We start from the raw sequence: 17,529 nt of genomic DNA on the forward strand, positions 1-17,529 counted from the left end.
CACGTACATATTTCATTCATAAATATCCTGTGCGTCTCTCTAAAAGGCAAGGACTTTTTTAAAAAAAACTTAAGCCTTATACAATTGTCACATCTAAAAATGTAATTCCTTAATATTACAAAAAATTCAGAGACTTTAAAAATTTGTTTTAGTTGTTAAATTTGGTTTATTTGCATTAGGATCCAAAAAAAGGGACCAACATAGTATCTGGTTAATGTTTCCTAAGCTTCTTTATCTGTAGCTTCCCTCACTCTTCTTCCCCTCAATTTATCTTAAAAAGAAACTTGGTTGTTTGTCCTATAGTTTCTTACATTCTGGATTTTGCTAATTGTGTCCATTCAGAGTGCAAGGAAGAGTGTTCCTTTACCTTGAATTTTATGTAAACTTGTAGTTATATCCAGAGGAGGCTTGATCTAATTCAGATTGGGTTTTTTTGGCAAGAATATTTTATAGGAGGTGGTGTTTACTTCCATCAAGAGGCACATAATAACCAGTTGTTTCATCTAATCTTATTATGATGTTAACAGCTATTGAAGAGCAATACTAAGATATGTTAATTAGGGTTTACAAAATGGTAATATCCTAAGTCATTTGTCTTTGTTTGTTAGCTAGAGAAACTATTTTTGTTGTTGCTGTTGTTGTTGTTGTTGTTGTTGTTGTTGTTGTTGTTGTTGAGACAGGGTCTTGTTCTATTGTCCAGTCTGTAGTGCAGTGGTACAAACATGGCTTATGGCAGCCTAAACCTCCCGGGCTCAGGTGATCCTCCCACCTCAGCCCCTCTAGTAGCTGGTACCACAGGTGCACACCACTATGCCTGGCTAATTTTTACTTTTTTTGTAGAGACGGGGTCTTGCCATGTTGCCCAGGCTGGTCTTGAGCTCCTGGGCTCAAGCAATTCTACTGCCTTGGCCTCCCAGAGTGCTGGGATTACAGGCATGAGCCACCATGCTTGGCCAGAAATAGTCTCTTATCCACTCTGTGGTTAATCTGAGGTATATTCCATTTAGGAAAGGCAGATTAAATGATTGATTCTTTCTCTTTTTTATCAGTTTTCATAATAATAAATTGATTCCCTAGTATCCTCCAAAAGAGACCAGTAAGGTCTTAAAATATACTTATTTCATTATGAACTGATGGATTTCATCATATTTCATAGATGTGAATCCATTGCAATGATTATTTTTTATTGATGCTCAAATGATCCCATCCTTGACTAGTGAGAGGAGCCCCTTCAAGTTGGTTTCTGAAGACTTTTTATAGTGTCCTTCCTTTTGGTATGATGATATGTTTAGGTTCATCTTATGCATCTTCTGTCTCAGCCCTCAGTCATTTCTTCAGGGAGCTCTCGTTCTTTTCAGCAGGAAAGGATATATGGAGGCACATTTGGATGCTTGAACAATGGATGACAGACTTTTTAATAGATACTTATCAGAATATCTGTAGAGTTCAAAAGATGTCTTCTTTCACCTTGAATTTGAATGGAGAGAAATTCAATTTTTTCTTCTATGAAATATGGAGTGTTTTCGTTTGTCGTTAGAGAAAAAGGAAAACAAAGGTTTTAGATAGAAATAAAATGAAGCCTTAACTCCCCTTTAAAATTGATTGTCCTCTCTCTGCCATACTTTGTTCATCATGTCCAGTGAAGAGAGATGCTAATAAGCTTTTCATATTTCCAGCTACATAAAAACCAGGCAGTGTTTAAAGATTATCATTATAGCATTTGTTTGATGTATTTCTTAAGTCTTTTTTTTATCTCCAGGTCCCCCGTCCCTGTAGGCTCCCCTCTCACAGACACAAGCCTTCTTCCTGGCATTTTTAGGAGGGCCTGGTGTTGTGTTTGGAAAATTTTGCTTTATTATATATCCTCAGCTTATACTGCATCAGTAGTGAAAAGCTTAGTTTTGTGTTTGGTGTAAGTAATGTGTTTCTGGATATTTTTATCATAAAAACTCATTATAGATAAGAGATGGAAATATATCATTAGAATGATTGTATATTTAAATTATGAATCAAGTTAGAGGAGAATGGAATATTGCCCCCTTATGGGAAGACTCTGGAATGTAGAAATTTTTTTCAGTATGTAACAACTTGGTCCTGCCTTCTTTCCCAGTGTTCAGGATCTAATTCAGCCATTTTATACATGATATGTTAAGCTTTTCATTAATTCAGTTATTCATTTGACACATACTGAGCACCAGAGTAATACCAGGCATGGTACTAGGAAATGAGAATAAAGAAATAAGAAACACACATGCTAAACTGACCATTTTCTAGTGGGAGAAAGACAATTATATATGTAATTCCAAACACTGGTAAGTGCATTTTAGGAAAAATACAGGGAGCTGTAAGAGTGATTAACTGGGGGGAGCCTGGCTTAGTCTGAGAGGACAGAAAGGCCTTTCTGACAAAGTAACATTTAAGCAAAGATTTAAAGGAAAAGTAGGCATTGGCCAGGTGATCATTGGGTCCAGAGCCTTCAAGCAAAGGGGCTAGCTATGTGTGAAGGTCCTGAGGGAGGAAAGAGCTTGAAGCCTTGGGGGACCTGGGAATGCTAGTGAGGCTGGAGACTGAGAGGGAGGCAGGGAATTAGGAGAGGAGCTGGAGATGTAGGCAGGGCCCTCATCACAGAGGCTGCTGTTGGCCTCCATCTCCGTTACAGATGTACAGCGTTTGGTGACCCAGACTAGAGACCAGACATAATACTTTTCAGGACCTCTTGGTCCTCCTGGGAGATGCTGGGAACTCTGAGTTCAGCTTTTCTCTCCTATTTCTCGAGGGTCCTTTGTTAATAAAGAAATATTTTTAAAATTATTCCTGCTTACCTTGTACTTAAGAGTGAAAGAAACTTTTAATAAACGGAATTATTTTTGGCTAATCTTCAGAAACCTTCACTCCAAGGATGAACTCATAAAAAGTTGTACCTTTAAAAGACTTTCCTATCTCGTCTCATCCTCACAGCGACCTTATAAGGTGGATATTTACTATTTTTCACATCATACAGAAAAGAGACTGAAGCTCTGAAAAATTAGGTAGTTCCTCAAGGCCAGCTAATAGGTGGTGAAGCAGGAACTGGACAGCGGGCCTTCTGACTACAGACCCAGTGGTGTTTGTGCTCTGTTCTTCCACTTACTATGAATGCAAGAGCTTCTACATATTTTGATCTCAGTATCTGCAACTTATTTATTTTGTTTTCTTTGTTGTTGTTGTTGTTTTTGAGACAGAGTCTCACACTGTTGCCCAGGCTGGAGTGCAGTGGTGCAGTCTCAGCTTACTGCAACCTCCGCCTCCTAGATTCCAGCAATTCTCCTGCCTCAGCCTCCTGAGTAGCTGGGATTATAGGCACCTGCCACCATGCCCGGCGGCTACTTTTGTGTGTGTGTGTGTGTGTGTGTGTGTGTGTGTGTGTGTGTGTGTGTTTTAGTAGAGACGGGGCTTCACCATGTTGGTCAGGCTGGTCTCTAACTCCTGACCTCAGGTGATCCACCCACCTTGGCCTCCTGAAGTGCTGGGATTACCTGTGTGAGCCACCTTGCCCAGCCAATTTATATTTTTTTAATGGAAGAATAAATCATACAAGCTTAAAAATTATGAGAGAAGGAGGAAGGAAATAGGGTAGAGGGGACAGGGAGAGAAGCTAGACTGCCTTAAATATGGTTGATAGCTTTTTTAAATGGAAAATGAGAAACAAGTAAACCTAAATTTTAAACCTCACTAATTCGAACTTTACATTCTTAGTGGGTATATGCCCTGAGAGTGAAAAAAGAACTGCAACAAACAGTAGCAACAACAACAAAGTCCTTCAACTGTACTCATGTGGAACATACCAGTGATCTTGTTAGTACTATTTTGAGATTGTTGTTGAGTGTATATTGTCAGAAAAAAACAAATGAGTAATTATGTGGTACTTTATAATTTCCACTGTTTTGAGATCCAGATTCCCAACATGGGTGAAAGGAGATACAAATATAAAATAAAAGAGGTTAAATAAAACCCTGTTAACTTGATTTCTTCATAGACTTTTTTTTTCTTTTTTTTGAGATGAAATCTCACTTTGTCACCCAGGCTGGAGCGCATTGGTGTGATCTTGGCTCACTGCAACCTCCGCCTCCCGTGTTCAAGCGATTCTCTTGCCTCAGCCTCCCCGGTAGCTGGGATTACAGGCACACACTACCACACCCAGCTAATTTTTTTATTTTTAGTAGAGATGGGGCTTCACCATGTTGGCCAGGCTGGTTGTGAACTCCTGACCTCAAATAATCCACCCGCCTCAGCCTCCTAAATTGCTGGGATTACAGGCGTGAGCCACTGCGCCCAGCGTTAAGACTTTTTTTTTTAATTGGCAGTTTTAGGGTCACAGTAAAATTAAGCAGAAAGTATAGAGTTATCATATTTGCCTGTTCTGTGTCCCTGCCAGCCTCCCGCAGTGTCACATCCCACACCAGAAAGGTCTATTTGTTATAAATGATGAACTTATGTTGGTACACCATTATTACTCAAAGTTCATTTGCATTAGGGTCCGCTCTTGGTGTTGCACATTCTATGGGTTTGGACAAATGTATGATGGCATGTATCCATCATAGAATCATGCAAAGTGGTTTCAGTGCTCTCAATCTTCTCTGCTCCACCTAGTCATCCCTCCATCTCCCTGTCTTCTGGCAACCACTGATCTTTTTACTGTCTCCGTAGATTTTTCTTTTCCAGATGTTATGTAGTTGGAATCACATAGCCTTTTCATGATGGCTTCTTTCACTTGGTAGTATGTATTTTAGGGTTTTTTCACATCTTTTCATGGCTTGATAGCTCATTTCATTTTAGCATGAATAATATTCCATTGCCTGGATGTACTCTAGTTTATCCATTCACCTATTGAAGGCCATCTTAGTTGCTTCCAAGTTTCAGTAAATAAAAATAAAGCGGCTGCAAACACCATGTGTGGGTTTTTGTGTGAACATAAGTTTTCACCTCATTTGACCAAATGTCAAGGAGCACAATTTCTGGATTGAATGGTAAGAGTAAGTTTAGTTTTGTGAGAAACTACCAAACTTGTCTTGCAAAGTGGCCATACGGTTTTGCATTCCCACCAGCAATGAAGGAGCATTCCTGTTTCTCCATGTCGTTACCAGCATTAGGTGGTGTCAGTGTTCTGCATTTTGGGCATCTAATGGGTGTGTAGTGGCATCTCATTGTTTTTTTTTTTTTTAAATTTGTAGTTCCCTAATGACATATGATGTTGAGTATCTTTTCGTATCCTTATTTGCCATCTGTATATCTTCTTCAGTGAGGTGTCTGCTCAGGTCTTTTACCATTTTTAATCAGGTTGTTTATTTTTTATTGCTGAGTTTTAAGAATTCTTTGTATATTTTGGATAACAGTCCTTTATCAGATGTATCTTTGTATTTTCTCCCAGTCTTTGACTTATCTTCTCATTCTCTCGATTAACTTAATTTTGAATTACAAGTTGTGGTATGAATTATTGATATATTTTATCTTAGACAAAAAACACCTCCTAACCCATTCAATTGAAAAATCCTATAAACAGTGACCAGTAGCAATGTGTAACCCTAGTCCCCAAATTGTGGTCTTGGAATACCAATTCTCACTAACAGGAAGCAGGGTTATTTGGAGAAATCACTGATACAGGAACCGGCTACACCACGTAACAAGGAAGTCATAAAAGACTGTGATCAGGATCACATCAAAAGAACCAAAGAACATACAAGAGAAGACTCTCTTCATCCAATGATGAGACAATCTGAATACCAATAAAGTTTTTTTTATTTTTTTGAGACGGAGTCTCACTCTCTCGCCCAGGCTGGAGTGCAGTAGCACGATCTTGGCTCACTGCAAGCTTCGCCTCCCGGGTTCACGCCATTCTCCTGCCTCAGCCTCCTGAATAGCTGGGACTACAGGCGCCCGCCACCACACCCGCATAATTTTTTTTTTTATTTTAGTAGAGACAGGGTTTCACCGTGTTAGCCAGGATGGTCTCGATCTCCTGACCTCGTGATCCGCCCGCCTCAGCCTCCCAAAGCATGATGATATTTTTTAAAAAAGCTATTGGATACCACTTGCTAACACTACATTAACCATATACCATCCCTTTCCTATACAAACAGATCTGGCTTCTAGAGCTATATAGTAATTTATAAGAATTACAGAGGACAGAGCAGCATATTAGTACCACCATCGGGTACAGTTGGAAAAATCCAGATTATGTGAAGCTCTGGGGTCTTCAACAAATAAATTGCAAAGAAAAAAAAAAAGCACAGCAAAGCAAAGTCTTGTGTGACATTTACGAGACAGTTGGAAGTTTGAATACTGGCTGATTACTTGATGGTATTGGGACTGTTACTAATGTTTTTAAAGTGTAATGATGGTATTATAAATTTTTAACGGTTTTTAAAAATATATTAGAGATAGGTATTTACCAGTGTATTTATCAATGAAATGTCCTTGCATTAAAACTAATGTGAAGGCAGGGATACCAATAAGGGATACAGGTGAAAGAGTGTTGGCCGGGAGTTAACTATTTAAGCTGACGATGGGAACTTGAACGTTCATTATATTATTGTCTACTTCTGTGTCTAGCATTTTTTATAATGAAACTTAAAAAAAAACTTTCCTTGAGAATTTATAACCACAAACTGGCCCGTGTATGGGTGTGAGACTTGAATTCATACTATCTGTGCAGTGTAAAATTTAAATTGTTCTTGGGTTAGTAGTGCCTCCAGGAACCTGCCAGAGAAACATAAATCTTCTCAGGAGAAAAATACACCTTACTTAGGACTCAAATATGTCTCACAAATAAAATTATTCAGAAGTCGAAAATGAAGAGTCACAAAACACTCAAAACACTGAGCTACAGTGAATGAGTCAGCAGAACCAACAAAAATGATCAGATTTGAGGCCAGGCGTGTTGGCTCACGCCTGTAATCCCAACACTTTGGGAGGCCGAGGCAGCTGGATCACTTGAGGTCAGGGGTTCGAGACCAGCCTAGCCAACATGGAGAAACCCCATCTCTACTAAAAATACAAAAATTAGCTGGTCATGGTGGTATGTGCCTGTAATCCCAGCTGCTTGGGAGGCTGAGGTGGGAGAATCATTTGAACCTGGGAGGCAGAGGTTACAGTGAGCTGAGATCTACCACTGCACTCCAGCCTGGGCAACAGAGCAAGACTCTGTCTCAAAAAAAAAAAAACAGATTTGAAAAGTCTATAATATTGTAATTATTGGAAACTGAACATAGAATAAGTATATTTAATATTTTAAGGAAATTGTGTTTTTTTATGGTTTTGGTGATTAATTAATTAGAGATGGGTTGTTGCTATGTTACCCAGACTGAAGTACAGTGGTGAAATCATAGTTCACTGCCGCCTCAAACTCCTGGGCTCAAGTGATCCTCCCACTTCAGCCTCCCAAGTGGCCAGAACTATAGGTATGCACCACCATGCCTGGCTAATTTTTTAGTACTTTTTTAGGGGCAAGGTCTTGCTCTGTGTCCTGGGCTGGTCTCAAATGCCGGCCTCTGGTCTTCAAATGACCCTCTCGCCTTAGCTTCCAGAGTATCTGGGATTAGAGGTGCAGACCGCCATGCCTGGCTAAAAACAGATACTGTAAGTGTAATGTAAATGTAATTAGATATTGTAAATTGTAAATGAAAGAATGCTGCCAATTAACTTTAAGGTGTAAGATGGCAACTGAGACTATCAGGAATAATCAGGCCAAAAGTCCTGTGTGTCAAGGATGGGTTTTGCAACTGGTGTATGCCACTATAGAGGTATTTGACTAGCTAAAATAATAATAATCAGATATATTTGAAAAAGAACCATTTCATCAGTTTAGCCATCCACAGTTTATACCTACTTGAAAACATGCTGTGCATGATAAATACAATTTTTATCAATTAAGAAAATAAGAATGAAAAAATAACCATTTCAGAAGCAAACAACATCATTGAATTTGGCATTTAGTAGACAAGTCTAATCTTAAAGCAAATTAGACACAAGTGAAGCAGGACTTACTGAACTAGAAGATAAAGCTAAAGAAATTGTCCACATAAAACCCATAGAGACAGAGAAAATGTTAAAGAAAGGTTAAGATGCATGGAAGATAGAATTAGAAGGTTTCATATAACATCTGATCAAAGTTCTAGGAGAATAGAAGCACTGGGGGAGAGGCAGTATTTGAAGACATTTTCCAAAATTGATGAAATAACTAAATCGTCTGAATCAGGAAGCTCAAGCAGGGTAAAGAAAGAGAAATATCACCTGGATACATTGGCAAATTCAAGATCCTAGTACAGTCCTGAGAGAAAAAGCAGACTGCAGACTGATAGCTGACTTTTCAGTGACAGTGGAAGCCACAAGACAATTCATCGTCAAAGTGCTGGAAGAAAAGTAACCATCTGTCAAGAATGAGGGCAAAACAAAAGCATTTTGAAATAAAAACCATTTTTATTATGAATGGAGAAAAGTAGAAGAGTATTTTTGAGCTTTCAGTTAGGACAGTTGTTAAGAGCTTAAACTTTGGAGTCAGATAGTTTGAGCTGTACTGCTAGTGAACTGTGTTGTTTAACTTCTCCGTTTCCTTCTCTACAAAATAGGATGACAAGTGGGAATGGTTGATGGGTACAAAAATACAGTTAGATAAAATGAATATGATCTAGTATTTGGTAGCACAATAGGATGCCTATAGATAACAATAATCTATTGTATATTTCAAAATAACTGGAAGAGTAGAATTGGCACTTTTCTAACAAAGAAATTATAAATGCTTGAGGTAATACCCCAGTTACCCTGATTTGATCATTACATGTTGTATACCTGTATCAAAACATCACATGTACCACGTAAATGTATACAACTATTATGTACTCATAATAATTAAAAATAAAAAAAATTTTAAAAACAGGATGACAGTAGTACTTACTTCATGGAATGCTTTGATAAGCAGATGAATTATATGTAAAGCACTATGAGTCCTACACAGTACGCATCTAGTAAATGTTAGGGATTGCTGTTACCATATTTTATGGAATTTAAGATGCCATCATTCCTAAGACATATTGTATTTTATGCTCCATTAAGAAAGAAAGAATGCTGCCAATTAATTGTAAGATGTCATTAATTGTAAAATCTGTCCAGATTTCACAAATGTTAACTTGTAAAGAAAAAAACCATGAATCTCAAAATTGATGAAATATAGTATTTTGATAGCAGATACTCAAGTACAGGAGAAAATACTGTATATGAAATATTTAAAAAAACAAAAACAGTTTGAAGAAGAAGTTGATGAAAGTGTTGTGAAGCCCAGAATTTAAATGTGTAGTACCCATGGCTGGAGAGTTTTGTGTATAAATTATTGAAGGTTAAAACAGCTGTTTCACTTTCATTTCTTCAGAAGTAAATATGAACTACAACCAAACTGCCCTTGAGTTGGCTTAAGATTTCCCAGTGGCTGTTACTTAAACGAAAAGTGTTCTTTAGCATTTCATTGGTAAGCACTAGCTTGTGGAAAGGCCAGATGTTGAATGTTGAACATGTTTGATAAACAGAAGTTTAATATGCAGCTGGAATAGTAGCATTCTTCTGCAGGTGCTTTTTGAAATGTTTTCAGTTTTTCTTTTCCACTTGGTTTTGATTACCACTTGCATGTAGTTGAGAGGAGATTTTTGCTAATTTCGTATGAGGCTGGATGTTGCTCTGTTTTAGTTGGTCTTATTGCTGATGATACTGCAGTATGTCTCGGAGAGCATGTAAGCATCAACACTCTTTCCAAACATTTTGATTTGGTTAGATCATCTCAAATCATTATTGAAGCTGCTAGCTAGAGTGTTGTCGTTTCATGAGGCCGTACACTCCAGAAATCTTTACAATTATATTACCACAAAGAAGTTGACTACTCATTCAGTTATTAGGATACATAGATTATTACAGCAGCCTCATAACTCTTTTTGCTACCTCTGTGATTTTATCAATTAGAAATAAATTAGGCTCTGTGTAATGGAATATCCAACTTTGCTTTAACCAAATAAAGATTTATTTTTTCCTACACACCAGAAAATTGGGAAATAAGTAGTCACTCCCAGTGTTGTTAATATCTCAAATTCCTTTGATCCATCCTTGATGGTGGCAAGGCCATTTCTCTGCTTCCGTTTCAGACCACGCACCCTCCCAAGTGAGGTATAAAAGGTGTGCCTCATCTAATGATTGACCAGAGCTGTGACATGTAGCCACCTCTCTTCTTAAGAAAAGTTGGGAAATGTAGCTTTCTAATTGAACCTAAGTTTACCCCTAGCCAAATCTGGATTCCAGGCATTTGCAAAACAAATAATGATATTACCACAATTGCCATGATTACGATGTAACCATGATTTGTGACCATGAAGCACCCATAAATTTAACTGACCTACATTGTGACTGAGCCCACAGCCTAACATTATCCTTTAAGTAACTGAGTTTACCACCTCATGCCATCTAGTAGGCAATTATCAGTTTTGCTCACTTGCCCCTTTATTATATGATGTGTATTTCCTTATACCTGTGCTTCATTAATATAGCCAACATTCACTGAATACCTACTCTGTGCCAGGCACTGTTAATACAGAAATGAATAAGGTACCCCATTTGATAGGGGAGATGGATATCAACAAAATTTACAAGTACCACAACCTGTAACCCTCATGCTCAAGGCGGATGTTATTGATAAAGTGGCTCATCCATGTCATCACCAGGTAACTAAGCTGGTGACTTTAGCCTAGGCCTTCTAAGCAGTGTAGCTCCTCTGTACCCCTCCTATCCGCAGCCCCAAATCCTTGTGTCTTACTGAGTTGATTGTCTTAGAAACATATAAACATGACTATGAGACCAGCTTCAGAAAGCACGATCTGTTGTATTGAACACATTGGTGCTTCTTATGGTAAATGGTCAACCACTCAATGCCAGGATCATGGCCAAAACTTTATGAGACTTCAGATTCCAAATCTTTAGCCACAGGGAACTCTTCCAATGGCCAATTCTTAGGAAGTCTGTGAGGACAATCATTGGCCATAAGGAACAGCTTAGAGTAAAGCACAGGTAATACCCAGTGAATACTAAGAAACCATGGTTGTTATGGATAATCAGAGGAGACAATCTGTTATTCCCACATAGCGTTACCTCTTTTAGAAGCATCTACATTTCCTGCAGAGATAGGATGTTTTTATTAACTGAGCCCTGGATCAAACTTGCACTAGCATACAGGTGGTGTGATAATCTCTTTACCTTGACAGCAACATGAGTCTGGGCTTGTGAGATGAATGGTAGGACTTCATCAAGATGTTGTCCAGCTACTCAGTGTGCATCATCCATTATGCCCCAGCCAAGGAGATCACAAAACTGGCTCCACCTCTCATCACTTCTAAGAAAACTTCCCCCAGTCTTCTCTTGTGCCTAAACAACTGTAATTTTTATAGTCATGTGTTACATACTATGCCAGATATATGCCAACGAATGTCTATAAAAAAAAGTTAATATTTATTAGCCAGAAAGCATAATGTTAGATTTTGGCTTTTAGAAGGGGAGGTTTTATTGATCCACCTACACATTGGCATGTGAATTTACTTCTCCATGAAAGCAGAGAAGAAATTTATTAATTTATTTGAACAGCTTTGTCAACATTGTTCTGAAAAGAACAAGTTGGAATGTAGTAGCAGTGTGCTCCATTATGACAAAAGCTTTGCAAATGACACAAAAGGTTATCAGAGTTGACCATTAAGGACCATATGGCACCAGGCTTCAGGAAAGATACAGTGGAGGAGGGAGAACAGAGACCCCATCCTTACCTGCCCCATCAGGGGAGTTCACCCTGGTGATGGGTGAGGTGTCAGGTGGCATAGCTGAACCATCCTTACATCTCACTGGGGAGTTTGGACTGTGTTGTCTGTGGGCTGGAAGGCTTTTGAACTTGTTGAACAAAGGAATGACATGATCAGATTTATTTTTTATTATAAGAGCAATTTATGCTCTTTGTAAAAACTTGATGTTTATGAAGTAGAAAATGGAAAATTCTTGCATCCTATTCCTCAGGTGTGTCCTTTTTTTTTGTTTTTGTTTTTGTTTTAAGACAGCCAGACAGGGTCTTTCTCTGTTTCCCAGGCTGGAGTGCAGTGGTGTGATCATGGCTCACTTCAGTCTCCAACTACTGGGCTCAAACAGTCCTCCTGCTTCAGCCTCCCGAGTAACTAGGACTACACGTGGGTGCCACCACACGCGGCCAATTTTTAAAAATATTTTTGTAGAGATTGGGTCTTGCTATATTGCCCAGGCTGGTCTTGAACTCCTGGACTCAAGTGATCCAGGCCTCCCAAAGTGCTGAATTTACAGGTGTGAGCCACTGCACTCTGCCAAAGGTACCTATTTTTAAAGGCTGTTGGATGTCTTGCCAGACTTTTCTCCATGCTTTCAGGTATATCATACACACACACACACACACACACACACACACACACACACACACACACTGTATTATACATTGTATACATTATATATACACGCAGATAATGTATAATGTAATATATATGTTTTATATATTTATTTGTATATTTTTGACCAACAGGGGATTAAGATATACAAAATGTTTTATAATGGCGTATCTTATTTACTTATTTAAGACAGGGTCTCGCTATGTTGCCCCAGCTAGCCTCAAAATCCTGAGCTCAAATGATCCTCCCACCTCAGCTTCCCAAGTAACTGGGACTACAGGTGTATGCCACCACTCCTGGCTGGCTCTTATTTTAATCTAACAAGTAGTTGTTAGATTAAAACAACTTTAAATAAATACATTTGTATACTTGTGAGGTGTGTGTGTGTGTAAGTGTATGTAAAATCCACCCTTAGAGGGGGAATTGCTGCTGGGCATGGTGGCTCATGCCTGTAATCCCAGCACTTTGGGAGGCTGAGATGGGCTGATCACCTGAGGTCAGGAGTTTAAGACCAGCCTGGCCAACATGGTGAAACCCCATCTCTACTAAAAATACAAAAATGAGCCGGGTGCGGTGGCGGGTGCCTGTAATCCCAGCTACACAGGAGGCTGAGGCAGGAATATTGCTTGAACCTGGAAGCGGAGGTTGCAGTGAGCCAAAACTGCGCCATTGCACTCCAGCCTGGGCAACAGAGCGAGACTCCGTCTCAAAAAAAAAAAAAAAAAAAAAAAAAGGGAATTACTATATCAAAGAGATGCATATTTCAGGTTTTGGCAGATGTTGTCATATTGTGCTGTAGAAAGGCACTCTGCATCCCGCCATCAGTATATGATCGTGCCTGTCTACACACCTTTGCATTATCAGACTTTTTAATCAAAATTGTTCTAAGTCATAGAAAAGATTTAGATTTTTATGTAGTGAAATGTATTAGTAATTTCTTACTCCCTTGGGGTGGGTTTATCATGCTTTTAGGAATGTCTTCCTCAATTCAAGATTATAAAAATATTTTTACCCATGGTTTCATCTGCTACTGTCATATTTCTTTAATTTTTTTTAGTTTTTTTATTTTAAGAGACAGTCTCACTCTGTCACCCATACTGGAGTGCAGTGGTATGATCATAGCTCACTGCAATCTCGAACTCCTGGGCTCAAGTGATCCTCCTGCCTCAGCCTCTCAAAGTGCTGGGATTTAAGGCATATGCTACCATACCCAGCTCTTTTTGTTTTTAAATTGATGTGTTTGATTTTTCTGGAATTTTATTTTGATATATGGAGTAAGAAAACATAAAGTAGGACCAGGCACGGTGGCTCGCACCTGTAATCCCAGCACTTTGGGAGGCCGAGGCGGATGGATCACAAGGTCAGCAGTTCGAGACCAGCCTGGCCAAGATGGTGAAACCCCGTCTCTACTAAAAATACAAAAATTAGCCGGGCACCGTGGTGGACGCCTGTAATCCCAGCTACTCATGAGGCTGAGGCAGGAGAATTGCTTGAACCTGGGAGGCAGAGCTTGTGGTGAGCTGAGATCGCGTGCACCACTGCACTCTAGCCTGGGCGATAGTGTGAGACTCTGTCTCGAAAAAAAAAAAAAGGAAAAAAAAACATACAGTAAGGAATATATAGCTTCCTGTTCTGGATTCCCACAGTGACTAGCCAGTTATTAAAAAATCATTTGCTGAAATAATTCATCTTTTCTCCACTGATTTGAAGCACTCTTTTAATCATAATTTTCCACATTGTGGTATGTGTCTTTTTTCCTTGACTACCTAGAGCCTCAACAAGATTAGTACAGCGGTCCTCCATATTCATGGGTTCTACATCCATGACTCCAATCAATCATGGATCAGAAATATTCAGGAAAAAAATTGCGTCTCTGTTGAACACATATAGACTATTTTCCTTGACATTATTCCCTAAATAATACAGTACAACAGCTGCTTACATAGCATTTGCATTGTATTAGATATCATAAATAACCTAGAGATTACATTTAAAGAATACAGGAAGATGTGTACCTAAGGAGGGGGCATTAGGTTATTTGCACAAGTTATACACAAATACTTCTCCATTTTATTTTATTTATTTATTTTTTGAAACGGAGTCTCGCTCTGCTGCCCAGGCTGGAGTGCAGTGGTGCAATCTCAGCTCACTACAAGCTCCGCCTCTCGGGCTCACGCCATTCTCCTTCCTCAGCCTCCCGAGTAGCTGGGACTACAGGCGCCCGCCACCATGCCTGGCTAATTTTTTTGTATTTTTAGCAGAGATGGGGTTTTACCATATTAGCCAGGATGGTCTCGATCTCCTGACCTCATGATCCGCCCACCTCGGCCTCCCAAAGTGCTGGGATTACAGACGTGGGCCACTGCGCCTGGCCCCTCCATTTTATTTTTATTATTTATTTATTTATTTATTTATTTATTTATTTATTTATGGAGACAGGGTCTCTCTTGCCCAGGCTGGAGTGTAGTGGTGTGATCTTGGCTTACTGCAATCTCCACCTTCCAGGTTCAAATGATTCTTGTGCCTCAGGCTCCTGAGTAGCTGTGATTACAGGCCTGTGCCACCACACCCAGCTAATTTTTTTTGTATTTTTAGTAGAGACAGGGTCTCGCCATGTTGCCTAGGCTGGTCTCGAACTTCTGGCCTCAAGTGATCCGCCTGCCTTGGCTTCCCAAAGTGCTGGGATTACAGGCGTGACCACTGCGCCTGGCCTATTTTTTAGAGACGGAGTCTGTCTCTTGCCCAGGTTGGAGTGCAGTGATAACAATCATAGCTCACTGCAGCCTCGAACTCCTAGGCTCAAGTGATCCTCCTGCCCCAGCCTCCTTAGTAGCTAGGACTACAGGTGCACACCACCATGTCAGGCTAATTAAAAAAAAAAATTTATAGACATGGAGTCTTAATTATTGGGTCTTACCAGGCAGAACTTAAACTCCTAGCCTCAGGCGATTCTCCCGCCTTGGCCTCCCTAAACACTGGGGTTTTGGGCATGAGCCACTGTGCCCAGTCTCTATACCATTTTGTTTCAGGGACTTAAGCAACCATGGATTTTGGTATACACCAAAGGTCTGGAACCAATCTCCCAAGGATACTGAGGGATGAGTGTATTATATTGGATGGAGACTGGGGGAAGGAAGATTGAACCTAAGCACTGTAGAGGGTTGTGGTATCAAAAGTCAGTAACACCTAGAGATAGGTTTGGAGAAGAGTTCTTTTTTGATAGGGTGGTTTGGAGATTGGAGGGACATTGTGGAAGACATTCTCAGCAGGTCCCCAAGTTCTCTCCTCATCTGGGCCCATTGCTTTCTCTTCAGCATTTTTTTTTTTTTCCTTTGAGATGGAGTCTCACTCTGTTGCCCAGGCTGGAGTGCAGTGGCATGATCTCGGCTCACCACAACATCCACCTCCCGGGCTCAAGCAATTCTCCTGCCTCAACCTCCCGAGTGGCTGGGACTACAGGCATCTGCCACCATGCCCAGCTAATTTTTTGTATCTTTAGTAGAGATGGGGTTTCATTGCGTTAGCCAGGATGGTCTCGATCTCCTAACCTTGTGATCCGCCCACCTCGGTCTCCCAAAGTGCTGGGATTACAGGCGTGAGCCACCACTCCTGGCCCCTGCTTCTTTAAATAACTAATTTTCAAACTTTAACCTATGTCAGAATCACCCCGAGGGCTTGTTAACAGCACATTGCCGGCGCCACCCCCAGCATTTCTGGCTCACTAGTTCTGGGATAAGGTCTGAATATTCACATTTCTATCAGGATTCCAAGTGCTGTTGCTGCTGTCTGGGGACCACACTTTGAGAACCATTGCTCTAGACTGAGTCCTCTTCACTCCCCTTTTAGATTACTCTAATGGTCTCTAGTTGGGCTTTTTTTTCTAGTTTTCCTGTCCTTTATAGCCTCCTGACTCAAATTAGGACTGCAGTGGTGAGAATAGAAGTGGAGAGAAAGGAATGAAGCTGAAAGACATTTCAAAAGAAGGATTAATGGGCTTTAGAGACTGAGTAGATGTGTGGGACAAAGGACAGGAAGCAAAGAGGCATTTTCTAAACATGGACACCAGATTTACTCTTTGGAAAACACTTCTTTCATCTTGTTATTTCCCAGTTCAAGAATCTGCAGTGAGATAAATCTAAAATGAGATTTATTTGAATAAAATACAGCTGACAATTGACACCCAACCGGTGTCGCTTCTCTGGTTTTGTCTAAGTCAAATCTCATTATGACAGATGACTTTGCAAGTAGATCTCTGCATTACCAAATACTTTCATGGCCGAGCCAGTGACCTACTTTAAGCAGTATCCAATTTAACAATTCCAGTTCAGCAAACTAGTTTGGATAGCATTTTAGGACTTGCAGAATTTAATCTGAAGTACTATGGTACATTTGTGTATATAAAAGAACTGTTAATTTCTAAGGGTTAGTTTAAACCCTATTTAGAAATCGTGTTTATCATATGAATATATTTTTTTAAAAAAACATTATATACTATGCTTTCTGATTTACCTTTTTCTTATGCTTGCTGTTGGACAAAAACAAGGAGGGAGATATTGTGCCAGATACTCATGTTTGCAATTATAAATGCAGATGAGGCCAAAGTGTGTGTTTGTACAGGTGGGATGAAATAAACAAATGACAGTGAAAGCCTGCTTATCAGGATCATTATTTGTTGTTGTCCCTTATTAGGATTCATTATTTGGAAAATAAGTATAGAGAGGACAGTTTGGGTTTTTAAGATATTTAGTATGTGACATTTAATTATTTCTTAATTTTTAAAAGCTGACTTCTGTCTTAGTCTTACATGATTTGGCCTCACATGTGTGGATGAGATTTTAAATATGTGAGAATCATAGCTAGTTATAAAAGAGTGCCGGGTATTTGCATTATAACAAAACACCTTTATTTGTGTATAATTTATATACATCATATATATAAACTTCACCCAGTTTAGATATACAATTAAAACATAGTAAATTGCCCAGTTGTGGTAGCTCACACCTAGAATCTCAGCACTTTGAGAGGCTGAGATGGGGAGACTGCTTGAGGCCAGGAGTTAAGAGACCAG

At 39.5% G+C, this 17,529-nt stretch overlaps 1 protein-coding gene across 1 annotated transcript in view, besides 1 other annotated feature; it reads left to right on the forward strand.

The window, feature by feature from the left end:
• The window catches only part of TNRC6B (trinucleotide repeat containing adaptor 6B), a 290,975-nt gene that overhangs the window by 40,382 nt on the left and 233,064 nt on the right, over positions 1 to 17,529 (forward strand). The window lies entirely within an intron of this gene.
• Positions 16,209 to 16,729: an enhancer, noted in NCBI's record as "OCT4-NANOG hESC enhancer chr22:40497428-40497948 (GRCh37/hg19 assembly coordinates)". NCBI's record gives its function as "activates a minimal SCP1, AML or CMV promoter by ChIP-STARR-seq in primed H9 embryonic stem cells {active_cell/tissue: H9 hESC(primed)}" and the evidence as "EXISTENCE:reporter gene assay evidence [ECO:0000049][PMID:30033119]".

The sequence above is a fragment of the Homo sapiens genome, chromosome 22 (assembly GCF_000001405.40).
Source record: "Homo sapiens chromosome 22, GRCh38.p14 Primary Assembly".
Lineage (NCBI taxonomy): Eukaryota > Metazoa > Chordata > Mammalia > Primates > Hominidae > Homo > Homo sapiens.